The sequence below is a fragment of the Homo sapiens genome, chromosome 1, assembly GCF_000001405.40.
Source record: "Homo sapiens chromosome 1, GRCh38.p14 Primary Assembly".
NCBI lineage: Eukaryota > Metazoa > Chordata > Mammalia > Primates > Hominidae > Homo > Homo sapiens.
Window position 1 is genome coordinate 8,995,980 of NC_000001.11, and position 24,674 is coordinate 9,020,653.

Sequence of the window (24,674 nt, forward strand, 5' to 3'; positions counted from 1 at the left end):
CAGGTTTTGAAGTCCCAGGCTCAAGTGATCTGCCTGCCTTGGCCTCCCAAAGTGCTGGGGTTACAGGCATGAGCCACCATGCCCAGCCTAGAAAACATTTTTATAGTTTTTTCTCTTATTTAAACTGTACATGTGATATTTTGACATATATACACGTTCGTGAAATTATCACCTCAGCATGATAATAAACATTTCATTGCCCCCAAAAGTTTCCCCAGCGAAACACTGATTTGTTTTCTGTTACTGAAGATTAGTTTGCATTTTCTGGAAATTTATACAACTGAAATAATATAGTAGGCACTTTCGGAGGGTCTTTCTCCTTTCCCTCGGCAGAAGTGCTTTGAGATTCATGCAGATTGCAGAGCGTGTCAATAGTTCGTGTCTTTTTATTGCTGAATACAATTCTACTGTGTGGCTAGGCCACTGTTTGCTTACCCATTCACCTTGATGTACTTTGGTGGTGCTTCCAATTCTTTGGCTATTCTAAATGAAGCTGCTATGAACATTTGTGTGCATGTCTTTGTTTAGACATCTGCTTTGGTTTCTTTGGGTTAATACCTAGGATTGGAATGGCTGTGTCATGTGGTAGATGTACATTTAACTGTTTAGCAGGCTGGCAAGCTGCTTTTGGAAGTGGTTGGACCATTTTACATATCTACCAGCCGTGGACCCGCGTTCCAGTTGCCCCTCATCTTTATCAAAACTTGTAGTCAGTATTTTAAATTTTAGGCATCCTAACAAGATGTGCAGTGGTGTCTCATTGTGGTTTTAATTTACATAATTACATAATTACTAATAATGTTGAGCATTTTTTTTTTTGAGATGGAGTTTCGCTCTTGTTGCTGGAGGGCAATGGCACGATCTTGGCTCACTGCAACCTCTGCCTCCCGGGATCAAGCAATTCTCCTGCCTCAGCCTCCCAAGTAGCTGGGATTACAGGTGTGTGCCACCACGCCCGGCTAATTTTGTATTTTTTTTAGTAGAGACGGGGTTTCACCATGTTGGTCAGACTGGTCTTGAACTCCTGATCTCAAGTGATCCACCCACCTCGGACTCCTAAAGTGCTGGGATTACAGGTGTGAGCCACTGCACCCGGCCAATGTTGAGGATCTTTTCATGTGCTTATTTACCATCACGTATCTTCTTTGGTGAAGTGCCCATTCAAATCTTTTGCCCAGTAGCCAAGTGCAGAGGCTCACCCCTGCAATCCCAGTGACTCGAGAGGCTGAGACGGGAGGATCACTTGAGGCCAGGAGTTTGAGGCTGCAGTGAGCCATGATTGTGTCACTGCACTCCAGACTGGATAACAGAGCGAGACCCTGTTTCTTAAAAAAACAAACAAACAAATAAACAAACAAAACACAATCTTTTGCCCATAAAAAAAATTGAATTGTTTTCTTATTACTGGGTTTTGAGAATTTATTTATTTATTTTTTTTGAGAAGGACTTTTGCTCTTGTTGCCCAGGCTGGAGTGCAATGGCACAATCTCGGTTCACTGCAACCTTCGCCTCCTGGGTTCAAGCGATTCTCCTACCTCAGCCTCCCGAGTAGCTGGAATCATAGGTGCCCACCACCAAGCCGGCTAATTTTTGTATTTTTAGTAGAGACGGGGTTTCACCATGTTGACCAGGCTAGTCTCGAACTCCTGACCTGGTGATCTGCCTGCCTCGGCCTCCCAAAGTGCTAGGATTACAGGCATGAGCCACGGCGCCCGGCCAGCTTTGAGACTTTCTTATGCATTGTACATTTTGTACATCTAGATACTAGTGCTTTCTCAGATATATGATTTGCAATTTTTTTGTGCTTGTCTGTGGCTTGTCTTTTCATTCTTATAACAACCTTTCAAATAGAAAATTTTATTAATTTTGTTGAAGTCCAATTTATCAATTTTTTCTTTTATGGATTGTGCTTTTAGTGTGTTGTGTAACCTAAGCTCACAAAGATTTATCTCCTATTTAGAAGTTTTATAATTTAAGGTTTTAATTTGGATCTCTGCTCCAGTTTGTGTTCATTTGTATATACGATGTGAGGTAGGAATCAGAGTTGATTTTTTTGCATGTGACATAACTGCTCCAGCACATTTGTTGGATATGCTGTCCTTTCACCACTCAGTTGCTTCTGTTGGAAAATCAGTTGTCTGAGGCCAGGCGTGGTGGCTAACACCTGTAATCCCAGCACTTTGGGAGGCCGAGGTAGGTGGATCACTTGAGGTCAGGAGTTCAAGACCATCCTGGCTAACATGGTGGAACCCTGTCTCTACTAAAAATACAAAAAATTAGCCTGGTGTGGTGGCGGGCGCCTGCAATCCCAGTTACTCAGGAGGCTGAGGCAGAAGAATTGCTTGAACCCAGGAGGTGGAGGTTGCAGTGAGCCGAGATCACACCACTGCACTCTAGCCTGGGCGACAGAGCAAGATTCCATCTCAAAATAAATAAATAAATAATAAAATCAGTTGTCTGTATAGGTGTGGGTCTATTTCTGGTTTCTTCCTGGCGTTCCATTAACTGTTCACTATTATTGCGTTAATACAACAAACGGTTTTGATTACTCCAGCTTTACAATAAGCCTTGAGGTCAAGTTAATATTATTCCCCCAAATTCAACTTGCTCAAAATTGTTTTGGTTATTCTAGTTTCTTTGCATTTCCATATAAATAACAGAATCAGTTTGTCAATTTCTAACCCCATCCTCCACCGCCTCCCCACCCCCTGCCAAAAACAGCCTGCTGGAATTTTGATGGAAATTGTTTTTAACTGGAATAGATCAATTTGGGGAGGATTAAGCCAATCTTGCATTCCTGAGATAAACCCTACTTGGTTAAGATATATTATTATCCTTATAATATATTATTGGAGTCTGCTTGCTAAAATATGGTTACTAATTTTTGTATCTATGCTCATGAGTGATATTGGGTTGTAGTTTTCTTGTCATGTCTTCAGTGCTGTTTTGGTGCCAGAGTAATTATGGCTTCATAGAATGAATTGAGAAGTGTTCCTTCCTTTTTAATTTTCTGGTAGAATTTGTGTTAAATGAGTATTATGTCCTCTTTAAATGTTTGGTAGAATTTACCAGTGAAGCCATATGGGCCTGAAGTTTTCTTCCCTTCTGGGAAGGTTTTTTAAATTACACATTCAATTTCTTTAATTGACTTAAGACTATTCAGGTTATCTATTTCTTTTTTGTTTTTTTGCCCGGCTAATTTTTGTATTTTTAATAGAGACAGGGTTTCACCATGTTAGCCAGGCTGGTCTCGAACTCCTGACCTCAAGTGATTCCCAAAGTGCTGTGATTATAGGCATGAGCCACTGCACCCAGCCCAGGTTATCTATTTCTTACTGAGCAAGCTTTGGTCCTCTGTGTTTTTCAAGGAGTTCGTCCATTTCATCTAGGTTGTCATATTTATTGGCATTCCAGTGTTCGTAACACCCCCTTACTATCCTGTCCCCTGGCTGTATTCTACTGGGCAGAAGCCAGTTAGCTTTGTCCAGGCTCAGAACCTATTTCTCCACTCACACCAACTACAAAGACCACCAGATCATTTTCTATTTTACTCCAGAGTGCAGCAACTGTATTTGGGTGGCCCTGGGCTCACTCAGCCCACACTCTGGTGATGGCTTCTTCACTGATTTGCTCTCATACCACTAACTGGCTTACTATGAGACCTGGACACTCCCTTCTGTGGACCACAGGAAAGGCTGTGGGAACAGAACTCCAGCAGGGTGTGTGACCCAGGAGGGAGGCATTCTTATTCGGGGGAGGAATCACATGGACTCCTGGAATTCCTGGATGAAGACACCTGGGCTGCCTCAGCCACAGGACCTGCTGGAGCCACACCTTGGACCTGCTGGGGACTCAGTCGTTGGTGCAGGGCTCTGTACAGATCCAGACAGAGAATGGGCCCAATGGAGACTCTGGGATGAGCGTGCAGGGGACGCAGCTGTCAGATCCATTTCTAATAGCAGCCATGAAGATGAACCCTGACCTTTGTGAAATGCTTCGTACTTACCAAGCATTTCCACCCGATTTATGTGAGGCAAAGATTATCAGCCTCAATTTAGAGACATGCAAAGTAAAACTAAAAGACCTTAAGTAACTTAAGGACCGAATTGGTGAAAAATGTGAGACCCAAAGAAAGATATTGAGGTGGGTTTAAACTATCTCTGCAAATTTTTTTGACACTCCTCTATTCAAAAGGGGCCAGGTGCGGGGGCTGACTCCTGTAATCTTCAGTGCTTTGGGAGGCTGAGGTGGGAGGATTGCTTGAGCCAAGAAGTTCCAGGCTGCAGTGAGCCATGATTGCCACTGCACTCCAGCCTGGACAACAGAGCGAGACCCTGTCTCTAAAAGGGGTGGTCTAGGCTGGGCACGGTGGCTCATGCCTGTAATCCCAGCACTTTGGGAGGCCGAGACAGATGGATCACCTGAGGTTGGGAGTTCAAAACCAGCCTGGCCAACATGGTAAAACCCCATCTCTACTAAAAATACAAAAATTAGCTGGGTGTGGTGGTGCGCACCTGTAATCCCAGCTATTTGGGAGGCTGAGGCAGCTGAATCGCTTGAATCTGGGAGGCAGAGGTTGCAGTGAGCCGAGATTGTGCCACTGCACTCCAGCCTGGGCAACAGAGCAAGACTCTGTCTCAAAATAAATAAATAAATAAAAATAAAATAAAAGGGGTGGTCTAATTCTCAACACAACCATCCCCCCTGCCACTATTGTGGGCCGGAGTGACTGACTAGCATCTAGCAAACAGCATGTGACTTTCCTGGTGTGTGTGTGTGTGTGTGTGTGTGTGTGTGTGTGTGTGACTCTGTCTCCCCCTGCCCCATCACCCCCAGGAATCCAGTGCCCCAGGTGTGAGGAGCCCAGGCTGAGTGTCAGTTTCACTGCCCTCCAGCACCAGCGATCAGAAGCGGAAGAAGCCTCTAGACAGCTCTGCTCCTGGGCCTCCGAGTCTTCCAGCTGAAGCCCCAGATGTCAAAGGGCAGAGAGAAGCCATTCCCACCGAGTCCTATCTGAATTCCTGACCCACAGGAACCAGGAGTCACAATAGCTGTCATTGTTTTAAGCCACTAAGTTTGGACACTACAGGGCAACAGGTAAACCTATAATTAATATGCAAAGTGACAAGCATGCCAATGGAAAAAGATGCACGGTGATTCCAGGGCCCAGAGGTGAGAGGACCTCCCGCTGGACAGGACAGGAGAGGTTCTTCAGGCTCATTCGAGCTGGGTTTTGAAGGCTGGGTAGGGCTGTGATCGTTTGGAGGGAAGGCACATGAAAGCACGCCAGGGAGAAAGGCACAGAGGATTGGAAGTACTTGGGGTGGTGGCAGGAAACCCACGTTATGACAATACGGTTCCAGCCTTATCATCTCGAGTGATAGAATCAGCCTAGGATTCCAGCAGGGAGTGACATGGTCAGGCCTGAATGCAGGTGCTATTTTTTTTTTTTTTTTTTTTTAGACAGGGTCTCACTCTGTCACCCAGGCTGGAATGCAGTGGCATTATGGCTCATTGCAACCTCTGCCTCTCGGGCTCAAGCAATTCTCCTGCCTCAGCCTCCCAAGCAGCTGGGACTATAGGCGCACATGACCGCACTGGCCAATTTTTGTATTTTCAGTAGAGACGGGGTTTCATTGTGTTGCCCAGGCTGGTCTCGAACTCCTGAGCTCAGGTGATCTACTCGCTTCAGCCTCCCAAAGTGCTGGGTTTACAGGTGTGAGTCACCACGCCCGGCACTGCACCTTGTTTTCAAGGAAGATATCAACTTCCCCATTGGAGGGAGAGGAGGAGAGAGAGTGGACTGGGAATGGTCTTACTCCCTTGCCTGTGGCCCCTGTTGTGGGGGGAAGAATGAGAGATCAGACTGCTACTGTGTCTATGTAGAAAGAAGTAGACAGAAGAAACTCCATTTTGTTCTGTACTAAGAAAAATTCTTCTGCCTTGAGATGCTGTTAATCTGTAACCCTAGCCCCAACCCTGTGCTCGCAGAAACATGTGCTGTGTTGACTCAAGGTTTAATGGCTTAGGGCTGTGCAGGATGCGCCTTGTTAAAAATGTGTTTGCAGGCAGTGTGCTTGGTAAAAGTCATCGCCATTCTCCATTGTCGAGTACCCAGGGACACAATGCACTGCGGAAGGCCACAGGGACCTCTGCCCAAGAAAGCCTGGGTATTGTCTAAGGCTTCCCCCCATGGAGATGGCCTGAGATATGGCCTCGTGGGAGGGGAAAGACCTGACCGTCCCCCAGCCCGACACCCGTAAAGGGTCTGTGCCGAGGAGGATTAGTGAAAGAGGAAGGCCTCTTTGCAATTGAGGTAAGAGGAAGGCATCTGTCTCCTGCTCGTCCCTGGGAACGGAATGTCTCGGTATAAAACCCGAGCGTACGTTCTGTTTACTGAGATAGGAGAAAACTGCCTTATGACTGGAGGTGAGACATGCTGGCGGCAATACTGCTCTTTACTACACTGAGATGTTTGTGTAAAGTCAAACATAACTCTGGCCTATGTGCACATCAAGGCACAGCACCTTTCCTTAAACTTATTTATGACACAGAGCCTTTGCTCACATGTTTTCCTGCTGACCCTCTCCCCACCATTACTCTATAGTCCTGCCACATCCCCCTCACCAAGACAGTAGAGATAGTGATCAATAAATACTGAGGGAACTCAGAGACCAGTACTGGTGAGGGTCCTCCGTATGCTGAGCGCCGGTCCCCTGGGCCCACTGTTCTTTCTCTATACTTTGTCTCTGTGTCTTATTTCTTTTTTCAGTCTCTCATCCCACCTGACGAGAAATACCCACAGGTGTCGAGGGGCTGGCCCCCTTCACCCTGTGATCGACAGGACAGAGCTGGGCACGCAGGCTGGGATTCACGGTGCAACCTGCAGCCACGGGGTGGAGAAAGGAAGCCACGTCGCCAGGAAGGCAATGGCATTCAGAGCCTTGGACTCCTTAATTGATGCAATGACGGCAGCTCGGGTATCCATAGCAATTGTGGAACTTGAAAAGTTTTACTTTAAAAAAGTGCATCTATACATCATTTAAATTTTGGTGCCAATGTAGAATCGGAAAATCGAGTCTTAACCAATCAAAATTCACGTGCCGGCCCCTTCCTCCAGGTCATTCCTCAATGGCTAGCCTTGGAACTTCTCAGCTAAATATGCATTGTTGTGGGTATTTAATAATATCCATAATTAAGTTAAATGGGGGCAACGACAAAAGCCTCCGTGCTATTATCCTCCCCAGAGCCTGGGGCCGGGAGGCCCATTGTCATAGAAGGAAGCCTTGAATATGGGCTCCCGTCCTTCATGCAGGGCCACTAAAAGGAAGTTTCCTTGGCAGGAGAGGCTGTGGGAGGCCCAGCATCAATGGTTTCTTCTTTCTCCTCTGGAAGCTTCACCCTGTTTCTCTTGGCAAAAATGCGGTTTATCTCCACAAATGTTTTGCCCTTGGTCTCCGGAATAACCACGTAGATGTAAATCGCAGTGAGGAGGCAGATTCCGGCAAAGATGATGAAACTGTAGGCACCGATGGCCTCCTAGACCAGGAGACGAGAAAGACAGGAGGGGGCAGAGAAAGGCAACAGTGCTGATTCAGCTGAGCACGTTGGCTCATGCCTGTAATCCCAGCACTTTGGGAGGCCAAGACAGGTGGATCACCTGAGGTCAGGAGTTTGAGACCAACCTGGCCAACATGATGAAACCCTGTCTCTATTAAAAATACAAAAATTAGCTGAGCATGGTGGTGTACACCTGTAATCCCAGCTACTTGGGAGTCTGAGGCAGGAGAATCGCTTGAACCCAGGAGGTAGAGGTTGCAGTGAGCCAAGATCGCGCTACTGCACTCCAGCCTGGGCAACAGAGCGTGACTGTCTCAAAAAAACAAAAACAAAAACAAAAACCCCAAAACAAACAACAAATAACCAATGCTGGTCGAGGCCTTTGTGAGTCCATAAAGGAGTTGCTTGGCAGCCAGTTTTGTTTCACTCCTGGAGGAATGATATAGCTAGAAAACTGTGATCACTAAAGATTGTTTGCAGGAAAAAAAAAAAAAAAGCTAGAAATTGGATTCCCCCTCACCCTATTATCAAAAAGAATCTGGTTGGGTGCTGTGGCTCACACCTATAATCCCAGCACTTTCGAAGTTTGAGACCAGCCTGGGCAATATAGCAAGACCCCATCCCTAAAATACATAAATAAATAAATAGCCATGTGTGGTGGCCCATGCCTGTGGTCCCAGCGACTTGGGAGGCTGAGGTAGGAGGATCACTTAAGCCTGGGAGGTCAAGGCTGCTATGAGCTGTGGTTGCACCACTGCATTCCAGCCTGGGTGACAGAGCAAGGCCCTGTCTAAAAAAAAAAAAAAAAGACTGCTTAACCTTTTGACAGTAGGGGTTTATGGCCTCTGTGCCCTGAAGGTGCTGAGAGCGCAGAGTTTGTGGCCCATCTTGTCTTCGGAACAGAGGAAGGAAGCGGTGGGGGATCTGCACCCTGGCTCTGGCTTTGTTTGCTGGCGCCTTTGAGCTCCGCGGACCAGAGCCCCTAAGCAATAGCCCTTTACAATGTCAGCAGGGGATCACCCTTCAGTAACTGAGAAACCGGTGTCTTCAAGGGTTTGCAGGCAGTGGGGCCACGTGTGTCTGTGGACCCTTGGATGTGTCTGAGAGCCTGTCCCCACCTTGCTGGATTCACAGATGTGCTTAGCGGAAGGGGAATACATCTTACTCCCTGGAGGCCCGGTGGAGCGGGTTGGGGAAGGGGCCCTCACTCACCTGGATGGATGGGAACAGGAAGCCTATGATGAAGTTGGTGAGCCAGTGCACTGCCCCGTCCACCATGAAAGCTGCCCGCCGGGAGGACTGCAGGAAGATCTCGGTCCTCACCACCGAGGGGACAGGACCTGGAGGGCAGAGCAGGATGGGTGGGGCGGAGAAGGACCCAGGTGTCCCCCAGGGCTGGCGGGACGCGGCCCACTCTAGCCTCTGACCTAGGACCCTCAAGAGTACCAGCTGGGATTGGGGACTGGAAAGGAACCCTGCCTTTACCCACAAAACCAGGGCGTGATCAGAGCAGGAGCTGCAAAGATCCACTTTGCAAAGTCTGGTTGGAGAGCCTGGAATTGAATTTCCATTGCTGCTTCTTCAAGGCCAATGACGCTCCATGAAGGTTTGCAGAAAGTAAATGGATGGGAAGCTTCGTGGGAGCAGCAGGAGTGAGTGGGCTCCAGCTCACAGGCAGCAGAGCTTTCTGAAAGAGCTTCCTTTGCGCTGGCGTCACTCTGACTTGAGACCGCCCGCGCTTGGGAAGTGCCGCCCTCCTATGGCGGATCTGGGTATGGCAGGGCCTGAGGGCTACACCTTCTTGGACAACTGTTTTTCATTATCGCTTCCTTAAGAAGCCTTGTCTAAAATGTCTAAAGCCATTTTTGTTCCCTAATCGCCACTCCCATGAAATTTTAATACTGTGCGTCTGTTTAGGTCCTGCATATATAGATATCTGTAGCTTTACACAAAGAAAGAGGAAGATTCTGTCCCTCCTCCTCCAAGCTTCCCACCCCCGCTTAGGTGGTGAAATGGCCTCATTGAAAAGGTCCGGTCTCACAGATCACTGGAGGTCAGGAGTTCGAGACCGGCCTGGCCAACATGATGAAACCCCATCTCTACTAAAAATATAAAAATTAGTCCGGCATGGTGGCGTGTGCCTGTAGTCCCAGCTACTCAGGAGGCTGAAGCAGGATAATCTGTTGAACTCGGGAGATGGAGGTTGCGCTCCAGCCTGGGCAACAGAGTGAGACTCCAACTCAAAAAAAAAAAAAAAAAAAGAAGGAAAAAAAGAAAAGGACCGATCTCCCTCTCTGGATGGACATGGAGAAGAATTCAAAGCCCCTGAATGAAGCTGGGATGTCAAGTGCAAACTCCTGCAGCCCAGTGACTTGGGGCCCGGGCCCCTTCTCCAGGGCCCTGACCCCAAAGTGGACGCCGGCAGGGATGTCATCTGTCCTGCCTTCCTCCTGTCCACCACAACAACAGCAGCCAATAGTCCTTAGGTCTAAGTTGAATGTCAGATCAGCCCATGCTCTGACCTCGCGTCTGCCGGCACACCTGATCACCCCGTTCTTGGAGAAGCACCATGGCTTGCTCCAGGTGACACACAGGCAGTGGGGGCAGAACGGCTTGGAACCCGGCCAGGTCTACACACACTGGCACTTTTCCTTTGAGGTTCTGCTGCCTCCACGTTTGAGGTACACTGGGAAGGCGTCCTGCTCTAAATCCCCACCCGCTCCCCTTTATTTTTTAGACAGAGTCTTGCTCTCTTGCCCAGCCTGGAGTGCAGTGGTGGATCTTGGCTTACTGCAACCTCTGGGTTCAAGTGATTATCCTGCCTCAGCCTCCCGAGTAGCTGGGACTACAGGCGCCCGCCAACACACCTGGCTAATTTTTGCATTTTTAGTAGAAACGGAGTTTCACCTTGTTGGCTAGGCTGGTCTCGAACTTCTGACCTTAAGTGAACAGCCTGCCTCCCTCCACCTCTCAAAATGTTGGGATTACAGGCATGAGCCACCATGCCAGGCCTAAATCCCACTTCTTAAATACCCTTAAATACAAGTATGTGGTCTCATTCATGTGCCTGACACAGCACAGTGTAAACAGGTATTCCGCCAATGGATGTTGAATGAATTAAATACCTTCATTTTGGTTTATGGACAGTGCTTTCAAAATGAACATTCTTCAGGGAATGTTATTAGAGTCTTCACAGTCAGGGGTGTCTTTTCCCAGGCAGGGAGAAGGAGGTTCAATTCTCAGGACACACTAGGGAAGGAGTCTGGAGTCTCAGAGGCTGCCCAACAGGTGGGCCCAGGTGGAGGCCCGAAGCCACTGGCAACAGGACATTGGGGACAGTGTAATAAGGGACTGTAGCTGGCAGTCAGCGGGGATAGAAGGCAGTTGAGCCTTGGGTGTGCTGTGGGCTTGGAGGCTCAAGTGAGTGTCTGGAGGGTGTGGATGTAAACCAAGGTGCCCCAGGGGTGTCTGACTGGCATAAGCTCCCTCTCTGCAAAAGCTCATGTCCTTGTTGGGTGCCAGACCTGAGTCTGGGCCCCCCTGGGAGCCACAGATGATCAGTGGGGCGCTGGCCTGGCTGGCGCTGGTTGAATGAATGCACATGGCCTGGAGTGCCATCAAGGCTGAGAACTAAGAACGTGTGGGATCTGCGTGAGCACGGGGACCAAGGACGTCCATTCACTCAGCAAATATGTGTCGAGCACTGACTGTGTGTCAGGCCCAGGAATGGACCAGGATGGCCGGGGCGAGGGAGGCGTGCAGGTACTCACTGGGCCCAATGGAATGTCCCGCGATGTAGGCAAAGACACAGATGATGCCGAGGTAGGACAGCTCGGGGACCCTGTTCTGTGGGGAGAGGCAGGGCTGTCTGGGCTGAGGCCAGGAGCCCCACGTGCGGGGGGGTCCACCTGCGGGTCCCACCTTCCTGCCCCAGGGAGGAGCTGCACCTAGATGTCTGGGCACCTCCATGGACCTTGAGGGCTCTGTGGGCAAGAGAGGAAGGCCAGTGAGAACCAGGCCTTGTAGCCTCCCACAGGGCTCCCTCCAGCCTCACCTGATGAGCGTCATGGAGAACGAGGGGCATCTACCTTTGAGTTATTTTCCTGCCAGGTGCCATTCTCTGCACTTTACAAATCACAAATATTAACTCATCTGATCTTTGTGATACTCCTCTGCCCTCTGAGTGACTCTACGATTCTTTCTTTTTTTTTTTTTTTGAGACAGAGTCTCGCTCTGTCGCCCAGGCTGAAGTGCAGTGGCACAGTCTTGGCTCACTGCAGCCTCCGCCTCCCGGGTTCAAGATTCCCCTGCCTCCGCCTCCTGTAGCTGGGACTAGAGGCGTGCGCCACCACGCCCGGCTTATATGATTGTTTCAGTTCCACAATTGTGGAAGCAGAGCACAGAGGGCCCTGAATACAGACCATGAGGAACCTTAGTCCCTCAGGGATCAAGCAGTGGCTGAAGTCACCCAGTCAACATGAGTGAGCTGAGGTCCGGACTTTCTCTACCATTCTCTGGAGACTCCTAGGACCCCCGGACCCGTGGAGCTGGCAGACCACCATCTCTGCTCCCAACTGCCGAGAGAACAGCCAATGCAAAACCGGGTCAACGGACTTCAGCCAAACTAACCGGGTGCCCCCAGATGAACTTCCCAGGGAACCCTGTAGTCACAGTTATGAGACGGCCTCAAGGGACAAGTTGGCAGCAGAGCTGGATGGCGAGGTGGGAGGGGAGGCACTGGGAGCTTCCAAGCAGAGAAGCAACAAGATCTGATTCATTTTCAACAAGAAGAGAAGGCAGGAGGATTGGGGCCATTCAACACTTCAAGCAAAAGCGAGGCTGGCTGGGTTGGTGGGGCCGCCCTGGACCCGGTGTGAAGCGAGCAGCTGCTGCTGCATTTTCAGGCAGAGCCCCTGGTTGGACAGAAGGAGTGAAAGAGCCACCGGGGATGCCCCTAGGTTTCAGAAGTGTCACTGGCGGTGGTCTCTGCAGGTGGCGCTCAGTCGTGCTCACCTCTTTTCACTTCCTAGAATCCCTAAAGGTTCTGCTAAGAACTTATATTGGTTTTTTTTTTTTTTAGACAGAATCTCGCTCTGTCACCCAGGCTGGAGCAGTGCTGTGATCTTGGCTCACTGCAACCTCTGCCTCCTGAGTTCAAGTGATTCTCCTGCCTCAGCCTCCCGAGTAACTGGGATTACAGGCACACGCCACCACACCCGACTAAATTTTGTATTTTTAATAGAGACGGGGTTTCACCACGTGGTCAGGCTGCTCTAGAACTCCTGACCTCAGGTGATCCACCCGCTTTGGCTTCCCAAAGTGCTGGGATTACAGGTGTGAGCCACTGCGTCTGGCTGAGAACTTATACTGGTTTTAAAATTAAAGAAGAAAGTTCTTTCCGAGGGAAACTTTAATTGATTTATGAGCATCACTAACACTGTTCGTCGCCAGGCCTTGCTTTCCCCGCAGGCCCTGGCCTCCTGGTCATTCCCTGAATCCCCCAGCTCTTTCCCACATGGAGCTCTCTGCACTCTCTGGTGGTTAAGGACAAGTCATTGCAGAGAGGGCAGCTTGGAAAAGAAGGAAAAGAGCAAAGATCTTGGCTCTACATGACAGAATGAGCTCCTCACACATTCTTGTACTCATGTGCAATTGCGTTGCTGATATATTTTCCATTTGAAAGGGCTCAGGACAGTGCTGCCGTTCCTGCACAAGCAACAGCAAAGAGGCTGCCTCGGAGACACAGAATGCTGGTTGCTTTTTAGAGATTTTATATCATGACACACCACGTATTTTCATCACTTCCGTAGAACGTGGATAATACATACAGGCTGAGAACACTGCAAATTAAAATGATGTACTTCTTGTTTGGGTGGTCTGCTGTGTTTTAGTCTTACTGAAAAATGATTCGTAGTTTTGTTTTGTTTTTTCTTTTTTGAGACAGGGTCTCACTGTCCCCCAGGCTGGAGTACAATGGTGCGATCATGGCTCACTGCAGCCTTGACCTCCCAGGCTCAGGTGATCCTCCCACCTCAGCTTCCTGAGTAGCTGGGACTACAGGTGCACACCACCACACCCAGAAAACGTTTTGTATTTTTTGTAGAGATGGGGTCTCACCATGTTGTTCAGACTGGTCTTGAGCTCCTGGGCTCAATGGGTCCTCCTGCCTTGGCCTCCCAAAGTGCTAGGATTGCAGGAGTGAGCCACTGTGCTCAGCCTCCTTCTACCTCTCGAATGGGGTGACTTCTGGTCTTTCCTTAACCCACACCTGTTCACCGCCCATAGATGTTTTCTAATGCGGTGGCATCCTTGCATTTACGCATTGAAGCACATATTTTATTGCAAACTGTCCTCCTTGTTTCTCTTTCCCATGACAGCTGGACCATCTATCCGGTTACTTATTTGCATGTGCAGGTGTAGGTAAATGAAGCCATCTGTGACATTCACTTCAGGATGGGGCATTGCAAAGTACTTTTCCAGGCAGGATGCATGCCATCAGTGGGACTCAGAACCAACCACTTGGTGCAGCGGGCCCGGTTCAGTCAGGGGACCTCCCACCCTCCCCATGACTCCCCACCCAGGGGGCAGGAAATGAGGTCAGACCTGGAATAGGAGCACCACCGTCAGCACCAGGCAGGCAGAGCCGCAGATGCCGTAGCCGGCCAGCAGGAGGTGCCGCCGTCCCAGCCGCTCCACAAGGACAGCCTGGAGGGGAAGGGGGACAGTGAGAAGCCGCCTTGGCCTGGCGCCCACGGTTCTTGGGCCGAGCCTCCACTTCCTTTTGTGGGCCCCTCTTAGGTGCCCCTTTCTTTCTTTTGTCTTTCTTTCTTTTTTTTTAAACGGAGTTTTGCTCTTGCTGCCCAGGCTGGAGTGCAGTGGTGCGATCTCAGCTCACTGCAACCTCTGCCTCCCAGGTTCAAGTGATTCTCCTACCTCAGCTCCCAAGTAGCTGGGATTACAGGCACCTGCCACCATGCCCGGCTAAGTTTTGTATTTCTCGTAGAGACGAGGTTTCACCATGTTGGCCAGGCTGGTCTCGAACTCCTGGCCTCAAGTGATCCTCCTGCCTCGGCCTCCCAAAGTGCTGGGATTACAGGCGTGAGCCACCGTGCGTCACCTTTTAGGTGCCCCTTTCTTACCCCTGCTGCCTGCATGTGGGATGCAGGCCGCTGATTTGACATGGGTCAGACATTCATGCTCTTCACCACCACCCTTCCTTGTTCTGGTCATTCATTTCCAGACCTCCTGGATCTTGGCTCCCTGCACCCCTTGCTACCCACTAGAATAACCACATTTTCTAGTTTCTGTGTTTGATGCTTTGACATCTTGGGACCTTTATGGCCCTGGAGGGACTGCCCTTCCCACCCCACTGATAGCAAACAAACCGCTGTCTGGGAGTGAGTGCCTCTTTCATCTGCAAACCAACAATGCAGGCCCACACCCCAGGTCTTCCTTTGCTGAGCTTTCACACGCAAGGCCAGCATCACCTGCCCTAACACCCTGGGGGCCAGGGGCCAGACAGCTGGCACAGCCCCTGTGGTCCCCGACCCTGAGGAAATTATTCACACCAGCTACTCCTAAACCTGCTCGCTCTGCCTCACCCATTCCTTTCTGTGGGAACCACAGTAAAGGTTCATCCTCACACTTCCCCTTCATGCCTCTGCTTCCTGACCAACCCTGGGGCTTCCCCGCAGGCCCGGAATGGCGTGGACCGCACCCTCCTCATGGGATCTGTGAGGAACAAACTGTCTTTCCAGCAGTAGCCACCTCCTGATCTGTTGGCCTCACCATACCTGAATAAGAATAAAACCTACATTTAAAAATAGCCCCTGGGCTGGGCACAGTGGCTCACACCTGTAATCTCAGCGCTTTGGGAGGCCGAGACAGGAGGATTGATTGAGCTCAGGAGTTCGAAACCAGCCGGGTCAACATAGTAAGACCCTGTCTCTATGTTTAAAAAATAAATAAATAAAAAGAATAAGAATAAAAATAGCCCCCTCCTATTCTCTGGGGCTCCACTCGACATTGAGGCCATCTGGAATCTGGGCTCACATCATGCGGGGCCCCTCATCTCTCCACTTTTCCACCTGATGGACTGACCCCTCCACTCAGCCAGCTCCTTCTCCAACAACCAAGCCCAGGCCACACTCCCTGTGATCAGCATTCTTTCGACTTCTTCCTTCCTTTTCTACTTCTTCTTCTTCTTCTTTTTTTTTTTTTTTTTTTTTTTGGTGGAGTCTCACTCTGTCACCCAGGCTGGAGTGCTGTGGTGCAACCGTGGCTCACTGCAACCTCCGCCTCCCGGGTACAAGCAATTCTCCTGCCTCAGTCTCCCGAGTAGCTGGGATTACAGGCATGTGCTATCACGCCCGGCTAATTTTTGTATTTTCAGTACAGATGGGGTTTCACCATGTTGGCCAGGCTGGTCTCGAACTCCTGACGTCAGGTGATCCGCCCGCCTCAACCTCCCAAAGTGCAGGAATTACAGGCATGAGCCACCACACCTGGCTCCTTTTCTACTTCTAATACCATTTCCATTCTACTCCATCCCTAATGGCTGACCAGAGCCGGCCCTGTACAGCCCCTTGACTCATGTTAGCTGACTCATGTCCTCCCAACATCCCAACAGACAGACTATCACTGCCATTCAGGATGGGAGCGAAGTGCACCCCAAAAATCAGGGAAATACTGTCAATTTCCTGCTGTATGCCTGGTTCCCAGATGCTGTTCCTCCAGGGAGAGGGAAAGGGTATTTTTCTGGCTTGGGTTGCTCCAGGTAGGATGATGGTGAAGCAGGTCCTAGTTATGGTCATTTATCCCCAAGGAGGAGGACTCTGAGGATAAAGGATGGATCCTGCCCCAGGGGAAAACTGGGGATGGGGCCACAGAAATCCAGCAGGAGGAAGGGGTTGAGACTTCAGCCTGGGGACCTCTGTCCTCTTCCCTTAATTTTCCTGTCAGCCTCTCCCACTGTTTTCCTTAACTTCTCCCTCCCTGCCCTTCTAAACCTTCTGAGAGTTTACTGGAACTTAAACTAGCTCTGGGGAAAATACAAATAATAGATAACTTTCTTGAAAATGTTTACCATCACTGGCAACTCAAGAAATAGGAATCAAAATAATCAGGAGATAACTTGAAAATGGTCTAGGGAAAGGAATGCCATGATCATCTGACCCTTTTTCATGCAACATATATATCAAAGCGTAAGTAGCTCAGACTTTAAATACTAAACTCTGAAATCATGAAACTGCACCAACAAAAAGGGGTACCTGCATTTGAATACCATGTATTGCAGTCACCATAATGATTTTTACAAAGGAAGAAACTTGGATCTGAAGGTTTTTCTTTGTTGTTGTTGTTGTTTTTGAGACAGAGTCTCACTCTTGTCACCCAGGCTGGAGTGCAGTGGTGCCATCTCCCTGCTCACTGCAATCTCCACCTCCCAAGTTCAAGTGATTCTCCTGACTCGGCCTCCCAAGTAGCTGACATTACAGGTACCCACCACCATGCCCAGCTCATTTTTGTATTTTTTAATAGAGATGGGGTTTCACCATGTTGACCAGGCTGGTCTCAAACTCCTGACCTCAAGTCATCCACCTGCCTCAGTCTCCCAAAGTGCTGGGATTACAAGTGTGTGCCACCACACCTGGCTAATTTTTTTGTATTTTTAGTAGAGACTGGGTTTCATCATGTTGGCCAGGCTGGTCTCAAACTCCCTGACCTCAAGTGATCTGCTCGCCTTGGCCTTCCGAAGTGCTGGGATTACAAGTGTGAGCCGCCGCGCCCGGCCGGCTCTGAAGGAATTTTGAGTTTTCTGGTCAAAGTCATGCAGGTAGTTAGTATGTGTGCATCCTAAAGTCCATGTCCCTTAAATGACCCCAGGACCAGGGCCACCAGCACTCAGTTCACTCTGTGGGGCTCCTGTCTGCCTGGCGGCACCTGGCCAGAGACCCTCCAGCAGGAAGGATGCCTCCTGCTCACTCACCGAGGTGATGGTCATCACTATGTTGACGACGCCAGAGCCCACCGTTACATATTGGGAGTGAGCGGCCTCCACGCCCGCAGATGTGTAGATGGTGTCCGCATAGTAGTTGATCTAAACAAAAACACAGGGCTGTCAGGACAGGCCGGAAGACCCAGGACGCTGGCTTAACTTTCTCAACTCAAGCCACACACAGTTCTGCAAGCCTGGGTTGGGGACCCTGGGACAGGAAGAGGGTAGCAGGTGGTGGGAAAAAGAGGCCTGACCTGGAGTCGGGACACCAGGGTGGAGCCCGGCGCTGCCCTGGAATCCAGGGTCGCAGCTCCTCCCTCTCTGGGCCTCAGGTTTGGCGTCTATAAAATGGAAGTCAGACCATACGACCTCCAAGAGCACTTTTCCCTCCATCATTCAGTTACTCTAAGAGCTCAGATCCCAAAGAATGACTTCTTACCTCTCACTCTGGGCCAAGCCAACCGCAAGTTGAGTCTGTCTTCTGGCCCCATGCCAAGGACATTGGCACAAACAGCCCTTTGAAAGGCCACGTGTGCTATTCCACATCTGGTGGCTCCCACCTGGGCCATCTACCCTCCCACGATCACTGGTTAAACATCCATGAATCCCTGAGGCCAAGGCCACCTCTTCCCGACACGCCACTGGAGCAACTGGGTCACCCACCCAATCTCCAGTGTTTTAGCTTCTGTCAGATCTCCACCCTTCCCTCACACCATGGTTAGATACAGTTACAGCCAAAGAGCCACGGTCGCAGAAAGCGATGCCACAAACATCACAGACAAGTGGGCCCAAGATGGGCTCCTGACACAGGCTGGGCCTACCAACCCAGGCCTGGTGACCTGAGCTTGGACCCAGGAGACCTCAGCTCATCTCAGTCTAGCTGGTCTCTTGTATAGAAGGGAAAGGACTATTGGCAGGAGGCATTCCTTCTGGGGACTGGGAAACAGAGAAAAATGAAGCTGGCATGTGGGGAGAGGCAGAGCACGGAGGCAGAGAGGAGTGAGGTTTCTTCCTGACATCTGGCTCTGCCTGGACTGATCCTGGCCCCACTGCCAGGCCAGGCCTCTGTGGGTGGAACTGTGTGTTGCTATCCATGAAGCCTGGGTCTGCTTCATCTGTCTCCCTGCCTGGCCACCGTCCCACATACCGCATTGATGCCCGACAGCTGCTGGCCGGCCATGAGCACGATGATGGAGAGGAGCTGCCAGCGCAGGGACCGCAGGGCACAGAGGTGCAGCACAGACAGGTGGCCCTCGGCGCGCTCGGCCCGGGCCTCCGCACGCATGTCCTCCAGCTCGGCCTCCATGTCCGTGTGGCCTCTCAGCCTCCTCAGAGCTGCGGAAAGCAGAACCACCCGCTCAGAGGGCCGTCTCCCTGCAGGCTGGGCCCCAAGCCCCCATGCTGGCCCTGAGCTCACCATTCCCTGACCTGACCTTGGTTGTGCCCCAGTTGCCACCCCCCCACCCCGTTCAGCTCCCAGCTCTCACCCCTGACCCATGGCGACCCTGACTGTGGCCCTGACCGTGTCTCTGCCTGGCCCCCGGGGTGGGCAGGGCCTGGGAGAGTAGCCGGCGACTTCATACCTTGTCGCGCTGTGGCTTCATCTCCTTTCTGAATCAGGGAGTAGCGGGGGCTTTCGGGGAAGAAGGGCAGGGTCAGCAGCTGCAGCAGGGCGGGCACCCCTGTGAGCGCCAGAAGCACCGGCCAGCCTGCAAGGAGCCAAGGACTCAGGATCCCGGGGCCTGGGCACCCCCTGGCCCACCTACCACTGTGCTCGGAAGGTCACGCTCCTATGTGTGAACCAAGGACTGTGGGGACTTCATTCTCACCAGGGTACTCCTACAAATGGTTTCCACATTCAAAACGGAGGGAATCATGAGAGTTATACAAATTTACACGTCATTAATTATTTTGCAGGAAGAACACCGTTTCTCTAAAGAATAGGCAATGATTTAAACACTTGAACCCCGGAGAAAATGAGCTCAGTCTTGTTCCTACTTTTATAGCAGGAAAGGGGATAATCTCTGCCTCATTAGGGCCATGGTAGGGCAGGGCCTGGACCCTGCGCTGGGTCTGAGTGAGCTCCTTCTGGATGGCTTGGCCTAAGGAGGGGAACTGAGATTCCACTAAGAGAACAGGGTCTCCGTCTGCCTCCCACCCCTGCTGGTATGGTGGGAAGTGGACAAGTTCTTTTTTTTTTTTTTTTTTGAGACAGAGTCTAGCTCTATCAGCCAAGCCGAAGTGCAATGGTGCGATCATAGCCCACTGCAACCTCAATCTCCCAGGCTCATGTGATCCTCCCACCACAGCTTCCTGAGTGGCTGGAACTACACGCGTGCATTACCGCACCTGGCTCATTTTTTTTTTTTTAATTTTTAGTAGAGACAGAGTCTTGCTATGTTGCCCAGGCTGGTCGTGAACTCTTGGGCTCAAATGATCCTCCTGCCTTGGCCTCCCAAAATGCTGGGCATGAGCCACTGCACCCAGCTGACAAGTTCTTTAATGTCTCTGAGCCTCAGGCAAGAAGTGGCGAGGGCTGAATGAGGCACAGGTGCTAAGCGTCATGCACGGTGGATTCCCCAGCTGATGTCTCTCTAATTGACGATTTAATACTCAGCGGCTCTGGGAGTTTAGGAATCATTACTGTTAACGATCTTTCATGGAGCACCCTCCAGGTTCTGAGTCTCTGAACCTCTTCAGGGTACTGTGGGGACCACAAAGACATAAATCCACCCATTAAGGAATATGTGCAGAATTTGGGTCATTCAGAAATGTCTGTAAAAAACCCCGGCCGGGCATAGTGGCTCATGCCTGTAATCCCTTCACTTTGGGAGGCGGAGGCAGGAGGATTACTTGAGCCCAGGAGTTACAGATCAGCCTGGACAACATAGTGAGACCCTTGTCTCTATAACAAAAATAGAAAAAAAGAGCTGGGCATGGTGGTGTGTGCCTGTAGTCCCAGCAACTTGGGAAGCTGAAGTGGGAGGATCGCTTGAGCCTGGGAAGTCAAGGCTGCAGTGAGCTATGATCGCACCACTGCACTCCAGCCTGGGTGACAGAGTGAGACCAGGAAGGAAGGAAGGAAGGGAAGGAGGGAGGGAGGGAAGAAGAGAGAGAGGAAGGAAGGAAGGAAGGAAGGAAAGGAGAGAGGAAGGAAGGAAGGAAAACAAAAAGGAAAGAAGGGAAAGAGAAAAAGAGAGAAAAAGGAGAAACCCCACTGGGTTCCTGGGCTTTTATTGCTGGCCGCATTCATTCAGGCCCGCCTGGTGGTCCATCCTCTTATCCTCTTTCCCTCCACCCTCCACGAGTGTCTCTCACTTTCTCCTGTTGGGGCTTTAAAACAATACCCCAAAATGAAGGCCTCAGCAGCGCCCTCAGAAGCAAGTTTTTCTCTGACCTTCTCCTGTCCCCCTGTCTCAGTCCCACTCCCCCCGAGGCTAACCCTAGAAACTAGCATCCCTAGTCAGGATTCCTGGGCAGGTCATACAAACCGGATCCCCTTTCCCCAAAACCAGTTCCATAAAACCTAAAAATATTCTAGGTAAAAACTGGCCATACGGGTGGATCACCTGAGGTCAGGAGTTCGAGACCATCCTGGCCAACATGGAGAAATCCTATCTTTACTAAAAATACAAAATTAGCTGGGCGTGGTGGCGCTCGCTTGTAATCCCAGCTACTCAGGAGGCTGAGGCAGGAGAACTGCTTGAACCCGGGAAGCGGAAGTTGCAGTGAGCTGAGATCGCGCCATTGCACTCCAGCCTGGGTGACAGGGTGAGACCCTGCCTCAAAACAACAACAACAAAACAACAACAACAACAACAAAACTAGCCAGAAGGAAAATCTCTGACCAATGCTGTTGGCTGTAGGTCATAAAAGGCCCCCTATTCTGCAGAGGGTCCTGCCCCACACCCAGAAGGAAGGCTGTACAGAGGCCAAGAAGGACCTACACAGACAGGCCTCGCGGGGTCTCCCCACTCAGTCCATTTACGTCGGATCAGACCCTTTTTGTCCAATGCTATTTCTACTCGGCTGTCCGTACTCTGTTGAGCCTGGACTAAAACGGACAATTTCCCCTCTATCTCTGGCTCTTCACTCTGAAGGCTCTGCGAATCTGGTTAAATATGTTTGCATGCCTTTTCTATTAATCAATCGGCTTCGTGTCAGTGATTTTTCAGCAGACCTTCAGAGGGCCACACTCCTCTCTCCTAAATCTCCACCACGACCCCCACTCGCTCTCAGGCAATGGCCTTGCCTCCTAATTCACTGGGAAGATAGAGGCCGCCAGAAGAAAACAGCCACCCAGTGACAGAGACGGTGGCTGTGAACCTGCTTGCCCTGCATTGACTTCCCTCTGTACTGGACCATTCCTATGGCAGCCAAATTATGCTGACACTTTTCATGGCTTGAAAGAAACCTCTTCTCTCGACCTCACTTCCCCAACTTCTCTCCTTCCCTTTATAGCAGAACCCCTACCTGCCTCAGAGCCCGATTCCCATTCCTAAGCACGATTTGTCGCCATCACTCACCAAAACAGCCCCGACCACGTCACCCATCCCTTTGCCCACCACACTGCCCAACACCTGACCCTAAAATCATCTCTCGGGTCTCATCTGACTCGATCCGTCAGTAACACCTGGCACAGCCGAACGAGAGACTGGACCTAGCGTGACCTCTGCGGCTGCCGGTTACCTGCCGGGTTGCCCAAGATGGCCTGGAGGCTGAAGATCTGTGCTAGGAAGACTCCAACGATGACGAAAACCTCGGTCATTGTTCCCACCATGCCTCTCAGGTTCTTGGGGGCCAGTTCTCCCAGGTACATGGGAAGGGCGCTGTAGGAGATGCCTGGTTTGGGCACAGCAGAAATCAGGGCAGGCAAACCGCAAACGCAGAATCTGAGATGCAATTCAATTCCGTTTCCTAATCCCGGGGCTTCTCCATGCTGTCAGCCCCTCCGTGGAGATGGAGCTCGGCCAACCTCGACTGTTTAGTTTGGACTTACACCAAAATCCCTCCAGAATCCTCAGCCCCCACGGGGGAGTCACCAGGATGTGATGAGGAGACCTTTTCCTTTCTAGCCACCGGGCTGGGCCGCTTGTTACAGGGGAGGAGCCTAGGCCTCCGTGTGTCCCTGGGACTTAACGATAAAACTTTTGCTTTGGTCTATTTTCTGATTTTTCTAAAGCACAGATTGCTTGTCTAACTTTTATTCATAGAAGAAATTACTGTAGTTAAGAAACTACTGAGTTTAAATTGTCCATCTTCCTGGGACGATACCTTGTAAAACCTTATTGGTTATTTGTACTTCAAGGTGAAAGTGTTTCTAAAGATCCATAAATAAAGGGAAGGGGCTAGTAAGCGTGAGGCTTGGCCAGGTACAGTGGCTCATACCTGTAATCCCAGGACTTTGGGAGGCCGAGACAGGAGGATCACTTGAGCCCAGGAGTTTGAGATCAGCCTGGGCAACACAGTGAGGCTCTGTCTCTAAAAAAAGATTAACTAATTAATTAATTAAGAAAAACAAGCATGAGGCTTGCAAGGGCCTGGGGATGCAGATGGGAGGACGTCTTGAAATGAAAAGAGGCAGAGCCAGGCAGACACCTCATCTGCTCCTGCTTCCAGCCTTGGCCAAACAGACCCTTCCCCCAAGGCTGAGCCGGAGCCTGGGCCCCAGGTACCTGCACAGACTCCCAGCACCACTCGGGAAAAGACGATCAGCTCAAAAGCCTTGGCCACTTTGCTGACTCCCATCAGGATGGCGGGGATGATGGCAAAGATGTTGTTGATCAGCAGGGTCCCCTTTCTGCAAAGACAGTGAGCCCAGAGGGCAGGGGTGCGTGGAGGCCGCGGAAGCCCTCCCAACACCAGCTCCTATTCTGCGGGCAGTCACTACAGAGGCGCGGGGAATGTGCCCGAGAAAGAGCTGAAGCAGGGGGCCGTGGACTGAATGGTGTCCCCCAAATTCCTATGTTGAAGGCCTTAACCCCAGTGTGATGGGATCAGCAGGAGGGACCTCTGGGAGGTGAATAGGTCATGTGGGGCCCTCACGATGGGATAGGAAGAGACATACAAGAAACCACTCTCTTTTTCTGCCCCGTGAAGACACAGCCAGGCTGGGCATGGTGGATCAAGCCTATAAACCCAGCACTTTGGGAGGCTGAGGTGGGCGGATCACTTGAGGTCTGGAGTTCGAGACCAGCCTGGCTAACATGGTGAAATCCCATCTCTACTAAAGAAACAAAAGTCAGCCAGGCGTGGTGGCACATGCCTGTAATCTCAGCTACTCGGGAGGCTGAGGCAGGAGAATCACTTGAATCCGGGAGGCAGAGGTTGCAGTGAGCCGAGATCGTGCCACTGCACTCCATCCAGAGCCACAGAGCAAGACTCCAACTCAAAAAAAAGAAAAAGAAAAAGAAAAAAGACACAGCCAGAAGAAAGCTGTCTGCAAGCCAGAAAGAAGGCCCTCACCAGGAAACAGATCTGCTGGTACCTTGATCTTGAATTTCTATCCTGCAGAACTGTGAGAAGATAAATGTCTGTTGTTTAAGTCTGTGGTTGTAGCAGCCTGAACTGATTAAGACAGATGGGAAGAAGGGGCGAATGGGCAGACGTCCCAGGAAGGAAGACTTGGGGTCAGTGGGGGTAGAAGCTGGGGAGGGGAGCATTCTAACGATCGGAGCTGCCTGCAAAGGGGAGGGCAGGAACAAAGAATGGGCTGTCCCAGGAGGTAGAGAGCTTCCCATCACTGGTGGTATTCAAGCTGTCGCTGGTGGTTTCTAGACTAGACACGATGACTGTCAGGAACGTTGAACAGGGAATTCTTACAATCAGTGGGGTGCAGAATGGGACTACATGATTTCTAAGATCCCTTCCAAGGCTGAAAAACCACAAGCCTGAGAAGGAGAGGGAGTGCCTGAAAAACAGCGCTATGCCAGGTGCGTCCTGCTGCCTTCATGATCCACTCATCTGCTTGACTCTGTGCTCTAGGTCCCCTGCCAACTTGCAGCAATGGCTCCTGTGCCCCCCCCCACCCCCCCGCCTTTGGCTTGGGTTTTGCACAGGAGAAGAATGGGCAGTGGACCAGAAAGAGGGCAGAGAGCTCCCGAGCTGTGGGGTTGCTGGC

The 24,674-nt window shown here is 50.7% G+C and overlaps 1 protein-coding gene across 3 annotated transcripts in view, besides 6 other annotated features; it reads right to left on the reverse strand.

Annotated features, from left to right (window-relative positions):
* Positions 1–24,674, reverse strand: part of SLC2A7 (solute carrier family 2 member 7) — a 33,890-nt gene that overhangs the window by 3,446 nt on the left and 5,770 nt on the right. The window contains exons 4-12 of one of the 3 annotated variants that reach the window (NM_207420.3): positions 23,230–23,354; positions 22,244–22,396; positions 19,138–19,263; positions 18,702–18,889; positions 17,546–17,656; positions 14,164–14,265; positions 11,331–11,406; positions 8,773–8,900; positions 6,994–7,539 (exon numbers count right to left, since the gene is read on the reverse strand). In NM_207420.3, coding sequence (NP_997303.2) covers positions 7,321–7,539; positions 8,773–8,900; positions 11,331–11,406; positions 14,164–14,265; positions 17,546–17,656; positions 18,702–18,889; positions 19,138–19,263; positions 22,244–22,396; positions 23,230–23,354 — 1,228 coding nt within the window. In that variant the 3' untranslated portion in view covers positions 6,994–7,320. The other 2 variants (XM_011540824.3, XM_011540825.3) reach the window with 2 other exon arrangements.
* Positions 8,302–8,830: an enhancer, noted in NCBI's record as "H3K4me1 hESC enhancer chr1:9064340-9064868 (GRCh37/hg19 assembly coordinates)". NCBI's record gives its function as "activates a minimal SCP1, AML or CMV promoter by ChIP-STARR-seq in primed H9 embryonic stem cells {active_cell/tissue: H9 hESC(primed)}" and the evidence as "EXISTENCE:reporter gene assay evidence [ECO:0000049][PMID:30033119]".
* Positions 8,831–9,357: an enhancer, noted in NCBI's record as "H3K4me1 hESC enhancer chr1:9064869-9065395 (GRCh37/hg19 assembly coordinates)". NCBI's record gives its function as "activates a minimal SCP1, AML or CMV promoter by ChIP-STARR-seq in primed H9 embryonic stem cells {active_cell/tissue: H9 hESC(primed)}" and the evidence as "EXISTENCE:reporter gene assay evidence [ECO:0000049][PMID:30033119]".
* Positions 9,070–9,349: a silencer, noted in NCBI's record as "fragment chr1:9065108-9065387 (GRCh37/hg19 assembly coordinates)". NCBI's record gives its function as "represses an EF-1alpha promoter that drives an FKBP-Casp9 reporter gene in an ReSE screen in phorbol 12-myristate 13-acetate-treated (for megakaryocytic differentiation) K562 erythroleukemia cells {active_cell/tissue: K562(+PMA)}" and the evidence as "EXISTENCE:reporter gene assay evidence [ECO:0000049][PMID:32094911]".
* Positions 11,778–12,278: an enhancer, noted in NCBI's record as "H3K4me1 hESC enhancer chr1:9067816-9068316 (GRCh37/hg19 assembly coordinates)". NCBI's record gives its function as "activates a minimal SCP1, AML or CMV promoter by ChIP-STARR-seq in primed H9 embryonic stem cells {active_cell/tissue: H9 hESC(primed)}" and the evidence as "EXISTENCE:reporter gene assay evidence [ECO:0000049][PMID:30033119]".
* Positions 12,279–12,779: an enhancer, noted in NCBI's record as "H3K4me1 hESC enhancer chr1:9068317-9068817 (GRCh37/hg19 assembly coordinates)". NCBI's record gives its function as "activates a minimal SCP1, AML or CMV promoter by ChIP-STARR-seq in primed H9 embryonic stem cells {active_cell/tissue: H9 hESC(primed)}" and the evidence as "EXISTENCE:reporter gene assay evidence [ECO:0000049][PMID:30033119]".
* Positions 15,036–15,095: a silencer, noted in NCBI's record as "silent region_207". NCBI's record gives its function as "represses an Ori minimal core promoter by ATAC-STARR-seq in GM12878 lymphoblastoid cells {active_cell/tissue: GM12878}" and the evidence as "EXISTENCE:reporter gene assay evidence [ECO:0000049][PMID:35858748]".